Source organism: Homo sapiens, chromosome 10, assembly GCF_000001405.40.
Source record: "Homo sapiens chromosome 10, GRCh38.p14 Primary Assembly".
Taxonomy (NCBI): Eukaryota; Metazoa; Chordata; class Mammalia; order Primates; family Hominidae; genus Homo; species Homo sapiens.
In genome coordinates, this window is record NC_000010.11 from 22985730 (window position 1) to 23010904 (window position 25175).

A 25175-nucleotide genomic window follows, 5' to 3' on the forward strand; every position below is an offset into this window, starting at 1 on the left:
AAACATGAATCCTTTTACTTACAAATGGGCTAATGTTGTAGAGTAAAATAGACATAAAATATATCCTGGAAGTAAATTCCGCTTCCGGGAGTATTTTGCCTTAGGTCATTGTAGTGACACCCTCTTGCCTGGAAAACCTCTTCCCATGCAGGCTGTGGTTCTCTCCCTCACCCCGTTTACATCTCTGTTACAATGTCACCTTGGCGAAGCTACTTAGCATTACCACACGGCTTAAGATTGCACTCCACACATGCATATTTTCAACGCTCCTTCCCTGCTGCCCTTTTCACATACCCTTATCATTTTCTAACATAGCATGTAACTCACCTGGTACACTTATCATCATTTATTTTCTGCACCCCCACACCCCTGCACTGCACGCCCCCCCCCCGCGCCACACACCAACCACTAGCATCCATGAAGGGAGCAGCCTTCATCTATTTAATTCACTGATGCATCCCAAGCATCTAGAACACTGTCCATCCCATAGTAGGCATTCGAAGGAAAATAGGCTTACATCAAAAATACAACCAAAAAATGGCCGGGCAAAGGTGGTTCACATCTGTAATCCCAGCACTTTGGGAGGCCAAGGCGGGTGGATTACTTGAGGTCAGGGGTTCGAGACCAGCATGGCCAACATGGCAAAACCCCATCTCTACTAAAAATACAAAAATTAGCCAGGAATGGTGGTGCATATCTGTAATCCCAGCTACATGGGAGGCTGAGGCATGAGAATTGCTTGAACCCTGTAGGCAGAGGTTGCAGTGAGCCAAGATCGCGCCACTTCACTCCAGCTTGGGCAACAGAGTGAGACTCCATCTCAAAAAAAAAAACAAAAAAAAAAAAAACAAACCCAAAACAAAACAAAACAAAACAAAAAACCCAAAAGTAAAAGAAAAGTGATGAAAACAAAGTCTATTTGACAAACAAAGTCTGTTGTCAAACAATCAATAATGGCCATTACTTAAAACAGAAAGCAATCATCAGTGTTGTTTTCTTTGTTTTTATATAACTTGGAAAACAGAAGCAACAGTGGAGGCTTCCCTATAAGAGCCTCCTATTGATACTTCTAATTATTATCTACAGAATAAAGATAACTTAAAGTGGGTACAAATATGAAAAGGCAATGAATAAGAATAAAAATAACTATTTTTATAAAGGCATAGTAAAAGGGGACAAGAACAGCCAGATTCACTTATTAGCAGTGAAAGAAGGAGAAAGCAAAGTAAAACTATTTTTAAGTGAATAAATAAAAGGTGTGAAGGCTAAAACAATGCCTGTAGAAAGGAACAAATAAAAATGGAAACCAAGAAGCAATAATGAATTTTATAGAAAAATGTAGTTGTTTGGACACATATCTTTTCTTGGTATACTGCTAATCTCTTTTACAGTTAACAATTTGTAATGCCTTTTGAAAACGAGAAAACCGTTTATTTTTGACATAGGAAATATTGTTTTCAGCTAAATTTCATGTTACATTTATCCTGTATGCTTCTATCCAATTAATCATATCAAAGTTCCATATTATTTATGCAAGTACTGAGAGACTTATTCTCTGAGGAGCAGACCCTACACATTAAAAGAATGTTTTAAACTATTACTTTATAACATCACTGCCATCTGTTGGATCTGATCAGAATTAGAGTTTAAGTTGTTCCAAGAAGAAAAAGGGTTCAGTGTTTTTCACTTCCCTTTGGCAATGCTAACTAAATTTGGCCACTGGTAAACTATGAAAAGATTAGAATAAATGTTCAGAACTAATAAAGATTAGTATAAATGTTGGCTAGACAGTTTTCAAAAGATGCAATTATCTTAGGAAATAAAATGCAATGAACAAAATAAAAATATACACAGTAATAACTACAATTATTTTAATAACTATAGAGAAGTGAGAACTGAAGTTTTGTTACAGTAAATGCATGATCATAAGTCCCTTGTTTACACATAGATCACACTAACTCTGATTCTTCATAATTATTCCATGTCATCCCCATGAAGAACTGAGTGATTTACCTAAATCTTAGAGACCCTTTTATTACCATTTCTTTGCTTTTTATTTTTTATTTTTTGTACCCCTTTTGACTTTCCATGACAGCAGTGACCCAAGAAAGTTCTAAATGTTAGCACATATAGTGGTGACTGAAAAATTAATTGATTGATTACTGGCCCATTGCCAGCTTCTACAATACCAGAGACAAAAAGCTCTTCCCCAGAAACTGTCTTGCTGTTGTGTTCCCTATGGTCAGGACCGCACAAGGGAATGATGAAATTGTAAGCAGTACACTCCAAAGGGACTCCACAAACAGATAGAATGCCCCCAAATTATATGGATGTGCATTTGAGTGCTTTGGGAAGCTTAGAATGTCCTCGTTATATATGGATAACTTGTCATTTTGTATTATCAGTATTAAACATTCTTTTCGCTAATATAGAAATAAAGCATTGACTAATTTTAATACTTATTAGAATTATTCATGGAGTATCATGCCTGAGAATGCCATGCAATTTGTAGAGAAAACTTTAGAACGTATGCCACATACAGAACTTCACACAGTGTTTCAAGAAAAGTCAATACTTCATCTAGTGCTTCAACAAAAATCAGTGCTGCATTTACTCACAGTGACCAAAGTCCTTTATCAATCATTTCAGTATTGTCAGGGAGGGGCATGATCTTAATGATTTCCTGGAATGTTAAGTTTCTCCAGCAGAAATAGAAAGCACTTTTCAAACCTTTTGAAAAATTTCTCTCCCATTCAGTAAAGTTGGTGGGAAGATAATGTATTGTGTATTTATTGTTACCATTTCTTTTATTCTATTGATTTTAGGCTAATGGTTTCTCCTTAGAATTGCCTATATTTCATAGTGGAATGAAGGCTGAGTGCAGTGAATGATGATGGTCATTTTGAAGGGGGGAAAAATCTCTTAAAGTTAGCAAAATACAAACCACAAGTTCCACTTTTCCTTCTCCATCCCTGTACAGGAAGAGATGAAATGGCTAGACATGTGTCCCATCACCCTTTGAAAAATAAATGTTAACACCCTATTCTTAGAACACACTTCTTGGCCAGTTACACAGACCCACTTACATAAGTAATCCTGTCATTGAGAATACTTTTTACTAAAGAAGCATTGACCATAGAGATAATCCACAGTGATTTACAAAATTAAAACGTAGTCCCATGAAAAATGCAAGTTCGTGTTGTAGACTTGATGTATAGGTTGCATTTAATATTGCTAAGGTTGTACAGCTATTGTCTTTGTTGCATAGGGTTTTTCATTTTCGGAGAGTTCCATTTTCTAACAATGCAAGGAACTGCGTCTTCATACTGACCCCTAGTGGCCGATTAGGAGGACGTTGGGGGAGGGGCAAAAAAGGTAATGGAAGGATGGTTCTGTAGTTTAATGAAACGTACGTTAATTTAATTTGGAACACTCTCCAGTGTATCTAAGATAATATTTCCAAAACATTTTTAAAAGATTCCGATCTGAAAATCATTTCAACATGCTGCTTTTAGAGATAATATTCTACTGCTAAACGTGTGTTTAACAGATGCTTGTGTTTGACTTTGTCCCCTATTAAGGTGTAGTCATTTACAAATGTTTTGACGCATTCATTGTACCGGTAGCTGGACATCTTCTGTGCTATATAACCAGATAGGATAAATGTAATACTCTTGAACAACATAATCTAAGAAATCTCATTGCTATTATGGTTTCTCTAGAGTCGATTTTTTGCTCTTGACTTTGTATAATAGATTTTGTTTTACATTCTTATTTATATCACTTTGTTGTAAAATTCTAGATCCTTTGAATTAGAATACTCACAAGATGAGTATCTTGCAAGATAGCTAATTTCATAAGTTTTTAGGAGGTTTTGTTTTGTATTAAGGATGAGCTCTGGAAGAATGTATTTAACATGTTAATTAATGCCTTAAAAGTCCTCTGGAATTAATAGATAAAATAAATGGGAAAAGTCCTCATGGTAAACCTGAGAATTATTCTTGCATTATTTCTGTCCAAGTTTACTGAGTGGATGCTTTTCTTTCTGCCCCTTAGAGCCTAGATTCCTCCCTGTCTGATGGAATCTTATTCTAAACATTGGTTATACTGGATTGGAAAAATCATACTGAATTTGGAAAACAGAGAATGAAAAGCTGAATTTTGCAATAGAACAAGTGGATTCCCTATCCCCATTTCATGTCAGTGGATGCCCACCTGACCTTGACTAACAGTTTGAATTTGATTAGCTACTGATTTTGTGAGGCCAAGTGAATCCCATAAAATGTTCAATTAGAAAATTATCCATGCTACTTTTATTACCTACAGTGCAGAGACTGATATTTGCATAACCTCGTTTTAAAGTTGCTAGTACTCTCTTTCAGGTTTAATTTCCAACATTACTGATTTTCAGAGGAAATCTTTATATTGTGTGATTTCCCCCCCCCACTTCCAATTTGAAGCATACTTAAACCTATATAAGGTTATTTTTACCAACCCTTGACTTTTTATGTTAATCATTTCTCTTGATTTTTCTTCACACTGGAAATGGTCCTTACCACTCATTGATTACACTTGAGTGAAAGGCTTGAGTAGGATTTCTGAGGAAACTGCCCCAGCTCTAGCTCTGCAGGTGTAGGAGATTTTGCTGTTTAGCTAAAAATTGTCTGAAAATGAAATTTTCATGCACACACACAAGTTTTACAATATGATCTTACGTTTCCATGATCTGAAACTCTCTACCCTTGTGGCTCACTGAATGTTAAGAGGATGATGATGTTGTTGAAAGCTAGCAGTTATCGGCCAGGTATTAAGCTAAGTCCTTGAGTGGAATATATCATTAAATCCCAGAGCAGTCCTATGGGGGAAGGAATATTATTGTCATGCCCATTTTGCAGATGAGGAAACCAAGGCCCGGTGCTTACTCACAGTCACAGAGGTGGTCTGTTCTGTAGGTCCCCAGGGAGCTGGTAGGAGCTGAACCTCTTACTCTCCACCCCGGCAACTTTTCTCTCATTCTTTCCTCATCAGTGCCTCCAGGACCCTTAACTTCTCCACATTTTCCCCACCAGAAATTTCCCTTGTGCTGAAATTCATGATCTCTTTGAATTCCTCCAGCACTCCTTGTACTCACTCCAGTAGGCACCTTGAAATCATCTTTCATCCCTTCCTTTCCCTTTCTCTTTGCTTCTGACCCTCCCTCCACCTTTTTCCCCGGGTTCCTTTCCCTAGTCTCCCTTCTCCCCCTCTCTGCTTCCTCTGCCTCCTCCTCTCTGCTTCCTCTGCCTCCTCCTCCTTCTCATTTTCCATTCCCTAAGGAATGATGTCCTAAAGCAAGTAAATTCTTTTGGTTTTTGTTTTCCTGAAAATACTATACTTTTTAAAGCTTAAGAGGTTGAAAAATGTAAAAACTAATAAATTAAAGGTCAGAAAACCATGTGTTTGTTTTTCCGGTCTCTGTTGATTAACTTACCTTTGAGCAAGTTTTAGTCTCTCTGCATCCTGTCTTTTTTGACTATGAAACAAACAAGTAAAAATGAATCTATATAATCTACTGTATTTTGTGCATGTAAGAGATTACCCCCTAGCCAGTATCACAGGGAGTCTGGAATCCAGCTTCTTCCACTGGGGGCCGGATGTGATCCGTCGGTACAGCTGTTATCATTTCACCCCAAAATACAGGGAACTTACCACCTTGACTGTAGGTTTTTTTTTGTTTTTTCTTTTTTGTTTTGTTTTAGGTTTTTTTTTTGGTAATGATTCTACCATTATCTGGGTATCCTTTACCTGCTGGGCACTGTGCTAGGCTCTTGGGGTACCACAGGAAAGGAACACATCAGGCCTACATTTCAGTCAGGGAGGCCAGCAGTACACAAGTAATTTTAAAATGGTAATTGCAGAATTGTTACAGTATAGGTAAACTTCAAACAGCACAATGTGGAAAGAGGGCCATGGCCCCGGGGTTAGGAAGGGGCCTAGAGAATGATACAGGGCTTGTTAAGGAAGGGCTCTCTGAAAAAGTGACATCTGAGCTGCTGAGAATAAACCAGTCCTGGCAAGCGCAGGGATTTTTTTTTGTTTGCTGTGGCACTAGAGCATTCAGCATCCTTATTATTTAGTTAAGAAAATCAACAACATGGTATCTCTAATTACTTTGGGATTGTATCCCTTGTCATTGACAGATATGTAAATACGCTGATTTCCAGGCTAAACAGAAACATTTGGTAGCTGCAAAAGTCATTTATTATGAATATCCTAACTCCTTGACCATCATTTCTATTTTATTAGGAGACAAGTCAGCCATGCAAAAGAGAGTTGTTTTTTGCTGATGGCAGGTAGTTAATTATGAGTAGGGCATTCTAGCATTTGAAACAAGGTAGCATGTATGGAAGTGAAGTATTGTGATTGAACAGATAGGTCAATAAAGGCTCTGTGTCACTTGGGAGGAAATTACATTTGATTTCCCCAGACTTTGATTGACTGCCTCAAAATCGGTAGCAAAAACATGCATGCTCTTTGTGGAAGTGCTGGGGTAGCACTCACTATTCTCTTTGCAGTCATGCTGTTCTCTTTGAGAGAGCATAATGTCACCGCGGCTGCAACATCAAAGAGAATTCTGAAAGTCTCAAAATGAAACCTGCTAAGGTGCATCAATATGATGTAATCAATTCGGTTTCACATATTTCCTAGCATTTTGCGGGGGGCATTTTTCTTATTTTGCTATAGATGCAAACACATTTTTTTCCCTGTGGCTAGGCTTTACTTTAATTATGTTAATTTTAAAACCTTCATTTTAAGCATAAGCCTACAATTAATTGGTTGTCTCCCTTAATTGTGAAAAACTTCTTAAATAATATTTCTTTAAAAGAAGAACATTCTCTTGGCTAGTTTTGTCAACCTGGAGTTCAGCCAGAGTTTAGGGGCACATATACTAGCGTCCTGTAGCTGTGGGGCTGTGGCGGGATGATCCTTGTTCTGGACTCAGAAATTGACCAATTTAGCAAACACACTCCACTTCTTGGATCATTACCTTTGTTGAGAAACTGGCTGGAACAAGAGTCAGGAATTCTGTTTACAGCATTCCAAATCTGGCTGTGATAACCAGGAGACCTGTTTATCATAACGGCCAGTGTTCCACCTGTTCAGACTTCCTGCAGCCGGCAAGGCTTAAAAATGCCAGCTCTGAGTTGCTGCTGCGTACACACCGCCCCTGACCACTTGCAGAGTGTCTGCCGCCAATATGTCTTCCTTGGTGTGACAAAACTCACGGAGACATGAAAAGTCATGCTGGTGGGAATGGTTGTAATCACTGTTAACAAACAAGGTTCTTATTGCCAATATCACCATCTGTTCCATCGGGTTCCACATATTACCCTGTATGTGGGCTCTGTTAAACAGATTTCTGTTCTGCCCAAGGTCACCCTTGATTCATGTTACTAGACTTTGCAGTTGGGTTGAATGTGAACCTCAAATTGAAGCAAGGATTCAACTCTGAAAGGTACCAAATGGTGTCAACTGGTGCACACTAAAATAAACAGAGTCAACAATGTCTGCAAAGACAAAATAGAGACATCCCTTGATAAAAGAGAAGAATATATTCCCAAGAAGTTGTCTAAAGTGTAAAATTTTATTTCTTGAATACCATCTAAAAATTACCTCACTGTATAATTGGAGAAGCATGAGGGCAGGGAGGAAATGAACCAATTTCAAGAGCAGCTGTAAGTGATAAAACTGGAAATCGCAGTGTTGCTGGATCCTATCCCTTCTTGCAAACTTAAAGCTGAGCTAAGCACTTTCCCCCTCCCTTCTTCTTGATACCTGCAGCGAATTTCTGCTCACTCACCTTGAGTTGATTCGAGTCAATTAAAATACATTGATCTTCTCAGCACCGGAAATATAAATAAGACTCAAATATTACCTCTAAGAGGTAAGTACCAGGTACAGACATAGCACAGCAGAGGGAGTGATTAACAAGGAGGGCCGTGATGGTCACAGATGACTTTGCAGAGGAAGGGACAGGTAAGCAGAGAGTGAAGAATGAGCTAGTGTTCTCCAGCCACAAGTGCCAGAGGGATAGGGAAGGGTGTTTGGGACAAAGGGACCACAAGTGCAAAGACACAGACATGAAATCGCACAATATTTTTAGTGAGCCATAGACGCTATTTGTGTTTGAATTTTTCCTCAGTGATGTTCTTAGCATCCTTTCTGTAAGTGCTCTTTTATTGTGGGGCTTGGGCATTTGAATGAAAAATCTGCTGAATTCCATTCATGAGTGCTGCAAAATAACATTTTTAAATTGTTACTTTTTTCTGATGTAAACATTTATGCCAGAACATCATATTTTTAAACAAAAAGAAATGTGTATATTTAGCACACAAATGCTCTGAGCTCATGTTAAAAAGAAATCTCCTTTGGGGATCCAGAAGTGCCTCCTTGAGGAAAAGACATTTGTGCTGAGCTGTGAAAGAGGGCTGGGCATTGTCCTGGGGGAAGAGGATGTCAGGAAATGGGAAGAGCGCAGGGGAGCCCTGATGTGGGAAAGAGCCTGGCATATTGAAGGCTGCAAGAGAAGCTTAGAGCACGGAGCAACAGGAAGAGGCGGCGAGGGGCTGGGGGTGCATGGGGCTGGCGTGAGAAGTGGGGGCCGCTTGTGTAAGGCCTTGGAGGCCATGTCAGAAATTTGGGGGTAGGCCAGGCATGGCGGCTCACTCCTGTAATTCCAGCACTTTGGGAGGCCGAGGTGGCAGGATTGCTTGAGGCCAGAAGTTTGGGACTAGCCTGGGCAACGTAGCAAGACTCCATCTCTAGAAAAATAATTTAAAAATATAACAAAAAAGAAAAAGAAAAAATTGGGAACTTTATCCTAAGCAATGGGAAACCGTGAAAGTTTTAAGTAGGGGAGCAATATGATTATAATTTTAAAACATCACTTTAGCTGTAAGACGGAGGAAGGACTGGAGGGGGTGAGGAGAGACCTCTTAGGAGATTATTTATATCAACCCACAAGAGAGGATGCTGAATTGGATTCTGTGGGAGGATGGAGAGAAGGGAGAGATTTGAGAAATATGGAGGAGGAAAATAGTCAGGACTTGCTAATAGATTGACGTCACATGACATGTCAAGCTTCACCTCTGTTTACATATATCAAATGATATAAACAGATGTTTTCATACATTCCCATATTTGTTTTTTAGTTTGTTTTTTTCCCAATTTACATTTTAAACTCTTACTTGATTAAACTCCAACTGGATGGAGACTAATGATAGTAAATATCAGAAAATATTTTCAAATTATTGTGATGACATATGGCCCTATAATTCTGGATTTTAAAACAAAGCAGTTTGACTTCCATCCCATTCATTTGGATAATGCTATACTATTTGGGAAACCAAAATAATGGCTTTAAAAATATGACAGGCTTCAGCTTGTGTACAGGGAAAAATACAACAGAATGTCTGAGGTTTGAAATAAACAGAATTAATTCAATTCTTTTTTGTTTTTTAAACAAACAATTTTGTTTCAAAAAAGAATTTTGTTCAATTCTTTTTTGTTTTTTAAAGTACAAGTTCTGGGCTCTACTTCTGTATATAAAATTAGTTTTTTTAAGGTAAGAATAATAGTTTAATTTACCACCATAATAAGTTAATCTCAATTATTCTTTTTAGACTTAGTGCTGCATATAGCAAATTACGGGCAAATATGTACATATAATGCAGGTTGTGCCAGCTGTGCCTGCACGACTCATCTTTCTGTGCTGGCATTTATGTTCAATTTAGTAAAAGCTATATTCCACTGTGTACTAGAATCTTTGGTTTTTTAAACACCTAGTTTTTTATGCATTTCCCTTTACTGTCTCCATCAAGAGCAAAGAAAAGAGCAGAAGGTAGAGATATAAATGAACCAAGTCAAAATATGCCTTTGTAGAGGAGAAAGAAAGAAACAAAATCAAAGCAGAAAGGCTGACTGTTCGGATATACCTGATGTAAATTCCTGTATTTCCATGATCCAATTTTTCTTCGTTTCTTAGTTTTCAAGATGAAAGAAAAAGATGATGTATGACCCTGCGAACTCCTTTAGTTTTCCAAAAACTCCCTGGTACACACAAAAGACAAAGTATTTGAGAATTTATTGTTTGCATTTACTTAAAATACTTCTGTTTCTATCCTGGATGCCATTGAAGTACCCTGCGATTGTATGCTCTTTCTTAACTCTACAGGATGTTTTAAAAAGTGAACATTCTCGAGGGAAAACCACCAAGTGACAAAGGAATCATGCATTTTGGCCAAGCATATTTATAATGATTAACAAATACAAGGTATTTGGTTTAAGGGGCTGATTGCATTAAATACCTCAAAAATAAGTCAAAGGAAAAAACTAATTTTTAAGGAGGTTAAGTATATATTATTAATTAGAAAATATGTATAATTTAACATTTTTGCTGGCAGTTGTAAAAGGTATTCAGTATTTCCATTGCAAAAATATGAGATGTTTCTGATAAACTAATATATTAGAACCTCCAACTTCTCCCTCTTTCATAAAACCTAATGAACGCCATGCCAATTAATAATAGGAGAGAAGATGAAAAGTGAAATTATCTTAAGAATGCTTATTTTATCCCCTAGGAAAGGAAATTAAATGCTGACCCTCGGGCTATTATAGTGAGTGATATAGGGCCTTTGGATATTTTTGTAGAGGTCAATTTTGGTTACATGTCATCTAACCAAATTTTAATTTTAAGGGACGTCATCCTAGAGAAAGAATGGGAGATACCACAGAAGGGTTAAATGTACAAGGACTGGAGAATGAGTAGAAACGAAGCAAGGCTCTGCCTTTGTGGGATGTGGTGTGTTTGATGGACTGGTTTATATAAGCCAGGGTGGGAGGTGGTCCTGCGAGGGTGACACCAACTGAGCCCTTCATTCTCCAGAGCTGCTGTCCCTCTTCATTACGTTCCTGCCCAGTCACTGTGGTTCAGTTTCTTTCAGAGCTGGTGCCCCAGTCACAGCCTGCTTACACCTATGGCTACCAGTCTCTTTATGGAGATTTCATTTACCTCCTCTCTGATGGATAATTGTCATAACTTCTTTTCTTGAGGTTGTGAGTCCTCCTTCACAATAAGCAAATTGAAGTGACAGTACCAAATTAAATTTAATTCATCACCATACAGGATGATGGGCTGAATCATATAGCTTCAGTTGTTTTTTTTTTTAATTTTGGTTATTATTATATAGTCCTAAATGAAAAAATGTGTCAAAAACTTAGATGTTCATATTATTGACATCTCAAGTATTTTTCTTGTCTTGACTTCTATTACTATGATGATTTAAATGGATTTTGAAAACAGAATTTTGGGTCTCCCTTTAAAATCAGGATGCTCTCTTTATCTTATTGCTTGGAACATCTCCTATTTATAGCAATTCCAAACATTGAAGAACATAACTAAAGTATCTTCCACTCATTAAAATGCTCTAATTTTTATTTTTACTACCTATGAGCTTTAAACTGATTTAAAAATAAGGACAGCTGGTGTCTGGAGCCCTTCCACCCTGGCTTCATCTTGGAAGCTAAGCAGGGTGGGGACTGGCTAGAACTTGGATGGGAGACTGCCCGGGAAAACCGGGTGCTCAAAAACAAGGACTATTCTGTGCTCTTAAAAGAAGATTTAGGCTATCTAATTGTGAAAAAATGTTAGTATATTAATGGTAACTGTAGTCTTTTACTAGAGACAGGAAATTTAATAACTGAATATGCCTACATTACTAAAATTATCTATTTATATACATATCATGACTTTGATCTTTAATGTTTAATTTGTAAAAGCAGTATTCACATGCAGAATGATTTGCTGCTTTCAAACCTGTTCATCTTTGCCTACAATTAACAACCTAATTTGAAGAAGAGGAAGACAGGCTAATGAATTTTAACTTAAATCAGGAGTTCCCATGCTCACTCATTCCTACTATTTAAGGCTTTTGTTTTCTTAATAGCTAGGAATATTTTATCTTCAAGAAAACTTTCTAAGAATTTTATGGTTCATGTATGAAATCACACAAGAGTTTCTTTAAATAGAATTTCCTGGTCTTACAAGTAAATAAAAATAATAATAATAATGGTTGTACCTTTTTTTTAAGAAGTAGTAGTCGTCTATTTCTGAGGTTTCTAAAAAGTAGTAATGATATATTTTTCTATAACCAAAAGCTGTACAAGTAGAAAAAGAATTATTTAAATTCATTCATAGCTCAAAATTTCCCAGACTCCATTTAAATCACTAGCACTCAATTCTGGGTTCATTGCATGGCAAATTAATTTATTTCTAAAATCGTATTTCTGTACTCATTTGTTTTAGCAGCTTAGTTGCATGCTCCAAAGATAATTTTTTGAATTCAGATGAATCACATTCATTTCTCTTTCATTTACTCAGCGCTGCTGCTGAAGCTGATGGTATTGATCCATTAATAAACCTCCTGTCTAGTAAACGAGATGGAGCCATTGCCAACGCTGCTACAGTATTAACAAACATGGCCATGCAGGAGCCCCTGCGCCTGAACATACAGAATCACGACATCATGCATGCCATCATCAGCCCACTGCGTTCTGCAAACACAGTCGTGCAGAGCAAAGCTGCTCTCGCTGTCACCGCAACTGCGTGTGACGTTGAAGCCCGGACTGAGGTGAGAATTTTAATAACATGTGTTCTCTCATTTTTCTGGTTAGTACCTACTGGTGGATTCATTGGAAACATTTTTAAGTGATTGAACCTACCTGTCATTTAAGTCCTTCAAAACCGGTAAAACAGTGGAAAACGAATTGGCATTGTCTTGTCTTGTTTGTTTAATTAGCAAAGAAGGTGAGCATGCCCTATAAACCCAGCAATTCTGTTTCTAAGTATATACCTAAGAGAATCTGTTGCCTCTGTGTACCAGGAAGCATTGTTTATAATATCTAAACAAATAATATCTAAAACAAACAAATTGTCCAATTGTTAAGAAAATAGATAATGCATCGTGCTGTAGCCATAAAATAGAATCTCATGTCAGTGAAAATGAATGAGCTACAGCCCCACATGTCAACAGCGATGAGTTCACAAGCATTATGCCAAGCAAAAACACGTTGTAGAAAAATACATACTTATGATTCCATTTATGTAACGTTCAAAAGTATGCAAAGCTAAGCACTATGCTGTTTTGGCATGCATACATATAAGTTAAAACTATAAAGAAAATTGAGGGAATGCTGAATCCGAAATTCAAGAAAGCGGTTGCTTCTGTAGGGAGAAAGGGGGGCATGTAATTGGGTGGAACACCTAGGGGTTCGGTGTCATTGAAATGGTCATCTCTTAAGCTGGATAGTAGACAAACAGGTGTGCTTTTTACTAGGACTCTTTAAATTATACATGTGGGTTATTATATGTACTCTTGTGTTTCTCTTATATTTCTTATTTTTAAAACATACAATTGCATTTATCTGAAAATCTATTATATAAAAATGTCCTTGATAATTTATGGTGATCCTATTAAATCTTCAGAAAAACTTTATTTAGGCCAGGTGCAGTGGCTCACACTTGTTATCCCTGCACTTTGCGAGGTGGAGGCAGGCGGATTGCTTGAGGCCAGGAGTTCGAGGCCAGCCTGGGCAACATAGGGAGATCCGCATCTCTACAAAAAGACTCTGCCTCCTAAAAGAATAAAAATACAACTGGACTTAAATCAACAAACATCCTTTTATTTTTCTCAGTTTTCTCACATTTTCATGTCACCATGGCACTCATTTGAACAGCCTGGGACTTTGTTCTTCTCTGTCCCATAAAAATAACAAAACCAACGTTTATTTGGCACCTACTATGTGCCAGTGCTAAGCACTTTACATGCATTTAAGCCTCATTTGAGATAGGTATGTTTGTAATCCACATATTACAGATGAGGAAAATGAGGCTTAAAGAAATATGCTCAAAGCAGACTTGGTAAGTGGCGAGTCAGGGATATGAGAACACATCTGGGTCCAGAGCCCAAGTTTCACATGCTTGGGCCCATGCTGTCTGCCCAAACAACTGCCTAATCTTTTTCTTCTGTCTCCTTGATCTCTATTCTGTCTCCCTTGTTTGTTCCCATTGACTCACTTCATTTGTGCTCACCCACTCAGGTAGCGGTAGGCACCAGATATGTATTTACCAAGTACTGCGTGCCAGGTGCTCTGCTGGGTATCAGGAGCACAGTGACAAACAAGGGTCCTGTTTGTACCTCCATGCAGCCTGCAGGGAAGCCCACCTAGTTCCTGGAATATGCAGGAGACCCTTTACTTTTTTCCCTCCCCTCCTATTCCCCTTACTGGCTCCAGGCTTGTCTTTCTAACGTGTGGCCCTGGTCACATCATTGCACATCCTCAATGGGAACGTTAAGCTGCTCAGCAACATCTGCAGGGGCCCTCCTGACCTGCACCTGCCTACCTAAAGCTGTAAGCTCCAACTCTGTCCAGGTGGAACTCTACACTCCAGAAATGCCACACTGCTTGTAATTATGTCAGAATGCTCTGCTCTCACAGCTATACCTGCTTGATTTCTCTGCTTTCTCCCTTTTCCCCCACCTGATAAATTCCTATTAGTTCTTCAAAATCCAGCTCTACCCTCCTGTCCCCCAGAAGGCCTTTACTTTAGTTTTCAAACTAGGGTACATCTTTCTCTATGCTCCCATTGCACCCCTTGTCTTCCTTTTTTGAATTTTTTGGTTCTGTGTAAAAGACTACAAGCTCCTTGAGACTTTAGGGAAGGGAACTGAGATTTTTCATCCCTGTGTCCATGTCATTAATATATACCTGGCACATAATATATGCTGAATGAACATTTGTTAAATGAATGAGTGAACAAATAAATGGAGGAATTAATGAATAAATTAAATCTTTGCCTAAAGGACATGTGGTGTTAGATTACTATCTCATATTATACCTTATGCTTGCTAAGCATAAGGATGCTTCAAGTGAACTTTCTAAGCTGTCCAAGTAATGTGTGATAACAGGTAAGCCCCACCAGGGCCCCTGTGTTTGTGATGAGAGTGACTGAAAGTGGAAGAGATTCCACAGGGATCCTGTCTTAGGATACTACACATTCAAGCTGGTAGAATAAGAACATTCTTTTTATCCTCCAGTTGCATAGATAATGCAGCATTACATTTCAGACATGAGACAAGAACTCTGCCCAATCTTTTTTTTTTCTGATTGGAATAATTTTATACACGAGTGATGTCTTTTAATAATGTAATTAATGAAGTTCTATCCAATTCTTTTCTTTTTCTTCTCCTCTTCAGTCCTTTGAGAAATGAAGAGAAGACACTGTGTATAGATAGCAAAGATGGGTCTTTCTCTGGAGAATTGCTTGAGTGTTGCTTTGGCTGCAGTGCTGACTTGGTGGCCGTGCACAGTGACATGGGGGGGTCCTTGCTGGCATCGGTTCATCCAGCCTCAATCTTAGGGACTGTGTTAACTTCCTATTGCCACTGTAACAAATGACCATCACTTGGCTTAAAGCCATGTAAATCGAATATCATATGGTTGGGGAGGTCAGAAGTCTGAAGCTGTGTCTTATGTCCTTGCCCTTTCAGCTTCCAGGGGCTTCCCACATTGCTTGGCTTGTGACCCTCCTTGGATCTTCAAAGTGCATCACTGCAACCTCTGCTTCCATCACGTGTCTTTTTTCTGCTTCCAGCACCTTCTGTCCCCCTCTTATAAAGATCCTTGTGATTACACTGAACCCTCCTGGCTAATCCAGGATAACCTCCCCATCTCAAGACCCTTAATCATCTCTGCAGAGTCCCTTCCAGGGATGAGGATATCTTTGGGGGCCCCTTACTCTGTCTATCACTGAGCTGAATGAATAGTCAGTGTTCAGGAGCAGAGTGAATAAGCATCGGGCATCCCACGGGTGGGCAGTGAGAAGACAGACTCCTGCTGCAGTCCCCGTCCCACGTAAAATCAGGATGACCTCCCTGGGATACTTTCCCAGGGCCCGAAAACCGGGCTTCTCTGTGTAAGGGTTTGCAATAGATTTTTCACCCCTGAATTTAATAAACCTAAAGATAGACACATTCTGAAGCATTTTTACATAGTTAAAACCTTTTAGCAATCAAATAATGAGATTTTTTTAAAAGCACAAATAGTTACATTCTACACTCTTAATGTGTAACATTTTGGTTTCTGCTTTTAGTTAAGAAATTCTGGTGGATTGGAGCCCCTGGTAGAGCTGCTACGCTCCAAGAATGATGAAGTGAGGAAGCACGCCAGTTGGGCAGTGATGGTCTGTGCTGGTGACGAGCTGACGGCCAATGAATTATGCAGGCTCGGGTGAGTGGATGCCATCTCAAGTTTCTGGCTCAGATGAAGAGCAGAAGACGGAGAGGCACACTCTTTAGGCCCAAGGAATTTCAAGCCAAGTCTCCGCTGCTCTCTCAGTCCGCTGAAGCGCTGCATGTCCCCAGGGCGGGCCTTGGCTTGGAAGGAACCACCTGGAGGCAAGGGGGTCCCGATTCACCGCTCCCTCACTGCCCTTGAAAAAATCACCTTCAGTATTTTCTTCTAACCCCTTTATCTTGATAAATGCTTCTCTTTTACTTTCTTCTGCTACTGCCAAACAAATTCTATTTGTCTCTCAACTTTCAAGGCTAAAATTAAATGGGCGAGCTGTGTCTATCACCTCTATTTCTTTCCCACCCATCTAAAACTTTCACCAGAATTCCGCATTTCACCACCCTCACCAATCAGTTCTGTTGACCAAAAGCAGATGAGTTTGTTGCCTTTAACACATCAGCTAATAGGGTTTTAAGTTTCATTTCTTTTCTCTTTCTTTCTTTCTTTCTTTCTTTCTTTCTTTCTTTTTCTTTCTTTTCTTTTTTTCTTTCTTTTTTTTTTTGGCAGAGTCTCGCTCTGTTGCCCAGGCTAAAGTGCAGTGGTGCAATCTCAGCTCACTGCAACCTCTGCCCCCTGGGTTCGCAATTCTCCTGTCTCAGCCTTCTGAGTAGCTGGGATTACTTTTTTGTATTTTTAATACAAACAAGGTTTTGCCGTGTTGGCCAGGCTGGTCTCGAACTCCTGACCTCAAGTGATCTGCCCGCCTCAGCCTCCCAAAGTGCTAGAATTACAGGCATAAGCCATCACATCTAGCCCCAGGTTTTAAGTTTCTATAGACAGGTTTCATTTATTAATTTCTAAACATTTGGCTTCTTTGCATATATTGTCTAGTTAGATGAAAAAGTTGAGGTCCAATACTAATTTTGTTTTTAGATGAACAAAGAACTTTTTCCCCCAAAAGCATCCTTTTCCCCTGTTTGAACATGAGTTACTACTTGGCATATGTATCCTTAAGAAGGGCAGATTTGTCTTCATAATTCTATCAGTATTACTTTATCTAAGAGGGTGGGGGAGGCTTTAAGCTCCATCTCCATTCTTCCTTCAGGATCTGAAGTCGGTATATAAGTGGAGACTCAGTATTGGATGGCTTGTATAAAGCAAATAATGCTTTTTGCTTTTATTGACAGGGCTTTAGATATCCTTGAAGAAGTTAACGTATCAGGAACTCGGAAAAATAAATTCAGTGAGGCAGCTTATAATAAGTTGCTCAATAACAATCTTTCCCTGAAATACAGCCAGACTGGCTATTTGTCATCAAGTAACATAATTAACGATGGATTCTATGATTATGGTCGGGTAAGTGACAGCATTTATTTGTAGTTTAGTATGTACAATAATAATTTTTCTTTAATCCTGATGCCATTACATTGCCATTTCATCATCACCTAATGTAATTTATATTTTTACAGGCAGAAACTTGAAAATCAGCACTTCATTCTTAACTTTAGTTATAAGATTTTGCATTTTTTGTTCAGTTTTAACTAGAATCTGCTTACTTGTAATTAAATCAGCTTGCTAGAGGCAGTCTTAAGTTTCAGATAAGATACAAAAGAAGAGCTGGGTGGGCCTGGTGATGCATATCTGTAGTCCCAGCTATTCAGGAGGCTGAAGCAGGAGGATTGCTTGAGACCAAGAGCCCAGGAGTTTGAGGCTAGAGTGCACTATGGTTGTGCCTGTGAATAGACATTGCACTCCACCCCAGGCAGCATAGCAAGACCCTGTCAAAAAAAAAAAGGTATAAAAGAAGGAGCAGGTGACACAGCTCATGCCTGTAATCCCAGAACTTTGGGAGTCTGAGGTAGGAGAATCACTTGAGGCAGGAGTTCAAGATCAGCCTGGGGAACATAGTGAGACCCTGTCTCTATAAAAGAACTTTAAAAAATTAGCTGGGTATGGTGGCATGCATCTGTAGTCTGATCTACTCAGGAGGCTGAGTTAGGAGGATGGCTTGAGCCCAGAGTTCGAGGATGTAGTGAGCTATGATCACACCACTGCCCTCCAACCTGTCTTTTAAAAAAAAAAAGTAGCATTTAAAATTTGGGGGCTCTATTATCTGTATTACATGAATGTTGAGAGAAGTGAAAAGCTAGAAATTAAAATATTAAGGACACTTTTTACATGACTGATTTAGTCAGTATTTTCTACTTCTTCTGGAAACCAAAAGCAATGAGGAGAATGGGGAAAATGTTAAAAACCCACAAATCCCATTTTAAGCAAAACTAGGAAGCAGATATGATCTGCAGACTTCAAACAATTTTAAGGGTTGCCAAAAGCTGCCAAGATCAGGCAGAAGCTGTGCAGGAAGAAAAAGGAAAAGGAAAAAAAAAATCACAGACAGGAGCAAGAGGGCTAAAGATGGCAGAGCTCAGAAAGCAAGCACCACTAACACTGTATCCTTCCTGAGGTCATGGGAAAACTCAGAAGTGCAAAACTTGTAGATGTGGTTTGCTAGGCAGGTGCAAGAACTCAGGACACGGGGAGTGAGGCTGACAGCAGAAGCCTTCTTGGACCAATTTGGTTCCAAGAAGCAGAGGAGACAGGGCCATAAGTCACATCACTGAGCCCCGGTTGCAGGAAGCACTCCATCGTGGTAGTGGAGAACTAGAGAAAATTTGAATAATTCAAAACAGCTTGCCTAAAACTTGACTCTTACTCTCCCTTCTGCCTCCCCCACCTCCTGCCACCACTGCCGTACTCCATAACACACACAAACCACTGAGAAATTGCTCCCAGGAAGCCCATCTCCTTCAATTATGATAATTTAAAGAGAATGTTGCAGCATCAGGACAAAGCTGTTTTAAGAAAACCAAGAGGGGGGCCGGGCGTGGTGGCTCACGCCTGTAATCCCAGCACTTTGGGAGGCCGAGGTGGGCGGATCACGAGGTCAGATCGAGACCATCCTGGCTAACACGGTGGAACCCCATCTCTACTAAATATACAAAAAATTAGCCGGGCGTGGTGGCGGGTGCCTGTAGTCCCAGCTACTCCGGAGGCTGAGGCAGGAGAATGGCGTGAACCCGGAAGGCAGAGCTTGTGGTGAGCCGAGATCATACCACTGCACTCCAGCCTGGGCGACAGAGCTAGACTCGTCTCAAAAAAAAAAAAAAAAAAAAAACCAAACCAAGGGGGGAAAACAAACAAGAAAACTGACGGGAAAAGCCGAAAAACGATCGCAGAACACTTACCAGGAAAACCTTGCCATAGATCAGATAAAATTGTGACAAAACGTGTTTGGTCATGAAGTTTTAAAACATTTAACGAGACAATTTCTTTTTTAAAGGGGGATGCTCTGATTCATTCAGTAAATATTGTTATAAGTTTCGGATATTGGAGGCTGTGAATACGTCAGTGAACAAAGGAGACCAAGGTCTCCGCTTCCATGGTACCAGTGCTGGAGGACAGAGAATAAACACCAAACATGATACTGAAATAAATGATATCCCAGGGTAAAAATGAGAGGCACTGGCTTGGTGCGGTGGCACACGCCTGTAATCCCAGCACTTTGGGAGGCCGAGGCGGGTGGATCACCTGAGGTTAGGAGTTGGAGACCAGCTGACCAACATGGCGAAACCCTGTCTCTACTAAAAATACAAGAATTAGCTGGGCATGGTGGCACGCACCTGTAATCCCAACTACTCGAGAGGCTGAGGCAGGAGAATCACTTGAACCTGGGAGGCAGAGGTTGTAGTGAGCCGAGATGGCACCATTGTACTCCAGCCTGGGCAACAGAGCTAGACTCCATCTCAAAAAAGGGGGAAAAAAAAAAGAAATGAGAGGTGCCATGGAGGGAGAAGAGAGCTGGGCAGAGGGAGGGTGAGGGGCTCTGAAATGCTGGGGAGCCCTGAGGTGGGCGGTTGCAATTTTAGAAGTTGCAGTCAGGTGGGTATCACTGAGAGGGTGATCATTTCCAAGCCAAAACTTGCAGCAGGTGAGGACCTTAGTCCCGGGCAAATCTGGGGCTGGGGGAAGTCCTGGGCAAATCTGGGGTTGTTTTCTAGGCAGAAGAATCAAGCAGTGCAAGAGCCGTGTGGTGAATATATGTTTGGCATGTGCTAGGCACAGCAGGAAGGCCGGTGCAGCTAGAGCTGGGCTAGCAAAGTGCGAGGAGAGCAGACCCTAGACCAGAGAGCTAACGAAGGCCAGGTTAAAGGCCTTTACTCTGAATGGAACAGGAACCGTGGCAGTGTCCTGGGCAGAAGAATGACAGGATTGGTCTTATTTTAAAAGGCTCTCTTTTGCCTTCTTCCCAAAGGACCATGAAATGTATCTTGGATGAGAAAGGGATTCAACTATAACTTAATTGGAAAAAGATCTCAAAAGTGATCTAGTCTAGCCCTCTTCCTCCAGGCTTGTGAAACTGCCTGCACAGGGCTTTGTCTAGCCTACTTTTAGATACACTCACAACACTTTTAGTCATCTGTTCCAGTATTCAGTTACTTTTGCAGGCAGTCAGCTCTCCCTTAGGTATATAGATGGATTTGCCAATCCAAATACTTCCAGGGGCCAAGATGATAATGATGGGATGAAACAGCCGAGTGTAAAGCAATCGAGATGATAAGGAACTGGATCTGTCCTGCCCAAAGGCAAGAACATCCACAAGCTTCAGGTTCCTATTTCTAATTTTATATATGTATATTGTACATGTGTGTGTTTGTGTGTGTGAAATGAGACACCGCAAACAGCTGAGAATATATTCTATCTGTATTCATTTTCGAAAATATGACCCCTGCAGATACTACTTTTTGGTCCTTAAATTATCTCACAGATAAATCCCGGCACCAAACTGTTGCCTTTGAAGGAGCTCTGCTTACAAGAACCAAGTGACCTACGGGCTGTACTCTTAATCAACAGTAAATCTTACGTGTGAGTCTCTGCAGGGAGAGGGGATGAAGGGAAGCACATACTGCTTGTTGTTGTTGTTTCTCCACCAACGTGTGAATATGCAAAGATTCCCAGACCCTTTTCTCCTGTATCTAGCACCTCCATGAAAATAAACACTGGCTCATAAACTCATAGCCCGACATGGAATAACCATGAAATAGCCACCACTGCAAATCAATGCACTCTCTGCTCTCTTTCTTTGACTCTATACTGCCAGTCAATTTCAAGTGTATTCTGAAGTCAAGGCCTCTTACCATGGAGTCATTGAAGAAAGTGTAAATAGCAGCAAACCGAGATGAATCATGTTTACAATTCTCCAGGACTATGTGCTGGAGTACAGTTACCACCCAACATTTTTCTTTGAAATAAGAAGTAAATGATAGAGCTAAAAATTAAAGCTTCCATGGTCTTCTTTAAAATGACCATGGCCGGGCACGGTGGCTGACACCTGTAATCCCAACACTTTGGGAGCCGAGGCGGGCAGATCACGAGGTCAAGAGATCGAGGCCAACATGGTGAAACCCTGTCTCTACTAAAAAATACAAAAATTAGTTGGGTGTGGTGGCGCACGCCTGTAATCCCAGCTACTCAGGAGGCTGAGGCAGGAGAATCACTTGAACCCGGGAGGCGGATGTTGCAGTGAGCTGAGATTGCACTGCCACTGCACTCTAGCCTGGCAACAGAGCAAGACTCCGTCTCAAAAAAAAAAAAAAAAAAAGAGAGAGAGCGAGAGATCGTGTATATCTATATATCCATATAGTAGTTATGTGATACATTTTATACAAATAATTTCTGTTCTAGCTTATGAAAGGCTTTATAATAGTCTTCTTGCAGTGGCTCATGCCTATAATCCCAACCCTTTGTGAGGTTGATGCAGGAGGATCCTTTGAGCTCAGGAGTTTGAGAGCAGCTTGGGCAACACGGTGAAACCCCATCTATACAAAAAATACAAAAATTAGCTGGGTATGGTAGCACATGCCTGTAGTCCCAGCTACTTGGGGGACTGAGGTGGGAGGATCGCTTGAGCCCCGGAGGTCAAGGCTGCAGTGAGCCATCATCGCACCACTGCACTCCAGCCTGGGCGATAGAGTGAGATCCTGTCTCAAAAAACAAACAAAGAAAAAATGACTTCTCCTTTATACTTTAAAAACAGTATGTCACTGTTAAAAGTCAGCTTCAGTTATGACTTTCAGAAAAAAATCTGTTTCGTGGAATAAAACCATCTGTTGACAAATAATTTTAATCTATATATAATTTTAAATGTGTAAAATTTTAGTTCTCCACCTTCATCTATGGAAGATAAATCAGATGTTGGTTATGGACGAAGTATTTCTTCTTCATCTTCCTTAAGAAGATCAAGTAAAGAAAAGAACAAGTAAGAAAATGATGTTTTATCTGTATGCAAACAGCTTCCCCTTTAATTTGAGTGTGAAAAAATGTTTTAGATTTTAGATTGGGGCAACTTGATTTTTATTCTTCTTATGGTAATACAATTGCATAATTGCCTTTTACATTGCTATGGGAAAGATCTCTGGAATAGGAGCCAGGAAATCTGGTTTCACCTTCTATTTCGCCCTGTGGACCTGCAGTGATTTGGGCCACATGACTTAGTGTCTGTGTGGGTTTCGTTTCCTTAGCTGTGGACGAAATAACACCGGGTCCCTGGCTTCATCATGGGGAAAGGAATCAAGTTATATAATGAAGTAAAAATTGTATAATGAAGTAAAAATGCCTTGTAAGCTCTAAATGCAAATGTAATGTATTGTTGTTTTCCATATGATTGAAATTGGTTGTGGTTTTTTTTCAAATGACAAGAAAAAATAGTTATCATTTTAGTGCTGGATTTGGATCTCCCATAGAAGACAAATCAGAGCCAGCTTCTGGACGAAATACTGTTCTCAGCAAAAGCGCCACCAAAGAAAAAGGATGGAGGTAAGAAAGTGTCCTGAGTTCCTCATTACCCAGCCAGGCTGGTGGAAGGGAGGGGTGGCTCTTCAGTAGGAAGCTTTCTTCTGACATCAGGGTGTTGAACCAGGCAAGACTCATGAGATGAAATTTAAAAGAAACTTGATTTTTGTCTCTTACCATCTCTTTAAAACTTACCCGGAGAGAATTGTCTTCTGGCTCTGGCCAAAAACTCTGGTCACTTGGATCACTTGTAGGAACAACAGGGTCCTACAGTCGCTTTAATTAAAACTTGGCAACAGGGACAGCAGTCTCTAATCAGTCCTTTGAAAGCCCAACCCTGGGTAACCAACTTGGTGTGAGGGTTTCTGCCTCCCACTGCTGACTTTTGCAGGTGGGGAACCCCACACCCAGATGTGTGGTCCCACGCTCTCTCCTCCCGCCCCACTTTTGCTTCCACGGCCCTCCCCACCTCCCTCACCATCTCTGACCCTCCATGGGAGAAGGAATGAGGAGGAGGAGAGGCAAATAGAGCAACGCTCTTACTTGGTTGGGACAATTATAATGTCGTTTTGAGGTCTGTGTTTTGTTTTGTTTTGTTTTCTGAGGCAGAGTCTCGCTCTGTCGCCCAGGCTGGAGTGCAGTGGCACCATCTCCCATCTTGGCTCACTGCAACCTCTGCCTCCCTGGTTCAAGCAATTCTCCTGCTTCAACCTCCTAAGTAGCTAGGATTACAGGTGTGCACCACCATGCTCGGCTAATTTTTGTATTTTTATTAGAGATGGGGTTTCACCCTGTTGGCCAGGCTGGTCTCAAACTCCTGACCTCGTGATCTGCCTGCCTTGGCCTCCCAAAGTGCTGGGATTACAAGCATGAGCCACCCTGCTCGGCCCCACATGTTTACATATTTTTAAAACATACTTCTTCTATGAGAACTTTCCTGGATTCTTTGAAAAACTGTATTGAGTTATGGTAGACTTAAGCCTGTAAGGGCCACGGTGGCATTGGAGGCTGTGGGGAACAGATACCAGACCCCTGCTTTCCAAGGAGGCTGGGCCCCAAGTCTCCCAAGGCGTACGCAGTGGTTTGCCCTCATCCTCAGACTGCTTTATTTTCTGCTCTGGCTTTCTTCTCTGTTGTTAGAGTCTCTGTTGCTCAATATTCTCATCACTGCTACTCATCCATCCCTGTGGTTCCAGTCCCATAGCTTCTGCTTGCTCTCTCCTCCCCTTCCCTGTCCTTCCCTTCCCTCCCTCCCCTTCTCTTCCCTTCTCTCCAGCTTCCCTCTCCTTCCCTTCCCTCCGCTTCTTTGTCCTTCCCTTCCCTCCTCTCTCCCTTCCCATCCCTGTTCTTCTCTTCCTTTCCCTTCCCTTCCCTCTCTTTCCCCTTCCCTTCCCTTCTCTCTCCCCTTCCTTCCCATTCCCTGACCTACCCTCTTATCTCTCCTTCCCTTTCCCTCCCCTTTCCTTCCCTTCCTTCCCCTCTCTTTCCCTTCCCTCTCCTCCCCTTTCCCTCCCACCCCTTCCCTTCCCTCCCCTCTCCTTCCTTTCCCTCCTCCCTCCTTCCTTTCCCTCCTCCCTCCTTCCTTTCCCTCCCCTCTCCTTCCCTTCCCATCTCTCCTGTCTCCCTTCCCTTCCCTGTTCTCTTCTTTTCCCTTCCCTTCTCTCCCCTCTCTTTCCCTTCCCTTCCCTTCTCTCTCCCTTCCTTCCCATTCCCTGACCTACCATCTTCTCTCTCCTTCCCTTTCCTCTCCTCTCCTCTCCTTCCTTTCCCTCCCCCTTCCTTCCTTTCCCTTCCCCCTCCTTCCTTTCCCTCCCCTTTCCTTCCCTTTCCCTCCCCCTCCCCACTCCTTCTCTTCTCTCCCCTCTCTTTCCCTTCCCTCTCCTCTCCTTTGCTCTCTCTCCCTGCTCCTTCCCTTGCCTCTCCTCTCCTTCCCTTGCCTCTCCTCTCCTTCCCTTGCCTCTCCTCTCCTTCCCTTTCCCTCCCACTCCTTCCCTTCC

The 25175-nt window shown here is 40.8% G+C and overlaps 1 protein-coding gene, 1 long non-coding RNA gene and 1 pseudogene across 12 annotated transcripts in view; 2 read left to right on the plus strand and 1 right to left on the minus strand.

Annotated features, from left to right (window-relative positions):
- Positions 1 to 25175, plus strand: part of ARMC3 (armadillo repeat containing 3) — a 110471-nt gene that overhangs the window by 57677 nt on the left and 27619 nt on the right. For 7 of the 11 annotated variants that reach the window (NM_173081.5, XM_005252380.4, XM_005252381.3 and 4 more), the window contains 6 exons: positions 12419 to 12668; positions 16190 to 16326; positions 17517 to 17685; positions 21155 to 21252; positions 22547 to 22645; positions 23086 to 23202. In NM_173081.5, coding sequence (NP_775104.2) covers positions 12419 to 12668; positions 16190 to 16326; positions 17517 to 17685; positions 21155 to 21252; positions 22547 to 22645; positions 23086 to 23202 — 870 coding nt within the window. Of the gene's footprint in view, positions 1 to 10223; positions 10313 to 12418; positions 12669 to 16189; positions 16327 to 17516; positions 17686 to 21154; positions 21253 to 22546; positions 22646 to 23085; positions 23203 to 25175 lie in introns of those variants that run through there. The other 4 variants (NM_001282745.2, XM_017015831.3, XM_017015832.3 and 1 more) reach the window with 2 other exon arrangements.
- Positions 9695 to 25175, minus strand: part of LOC107984215 (uncharacterized) — a 99856-nt gene continuing 84375 nt past the window's right edge. The window contains exon 3 of the long non-coding RNA XR_001747394.2: positions 9695 to 10089. This is a non-coding gene — a long non-coding RNA (uncharacterized LOC107984215). The remainder of the gene's footprint in view (positions 10090 to 25175) is intronic.
- RNA5SP304 (RNA, 5S ribosomal pseudogene 304) lies at positions 11526 to 11629 on the plus strand (annotated as a pseudogene).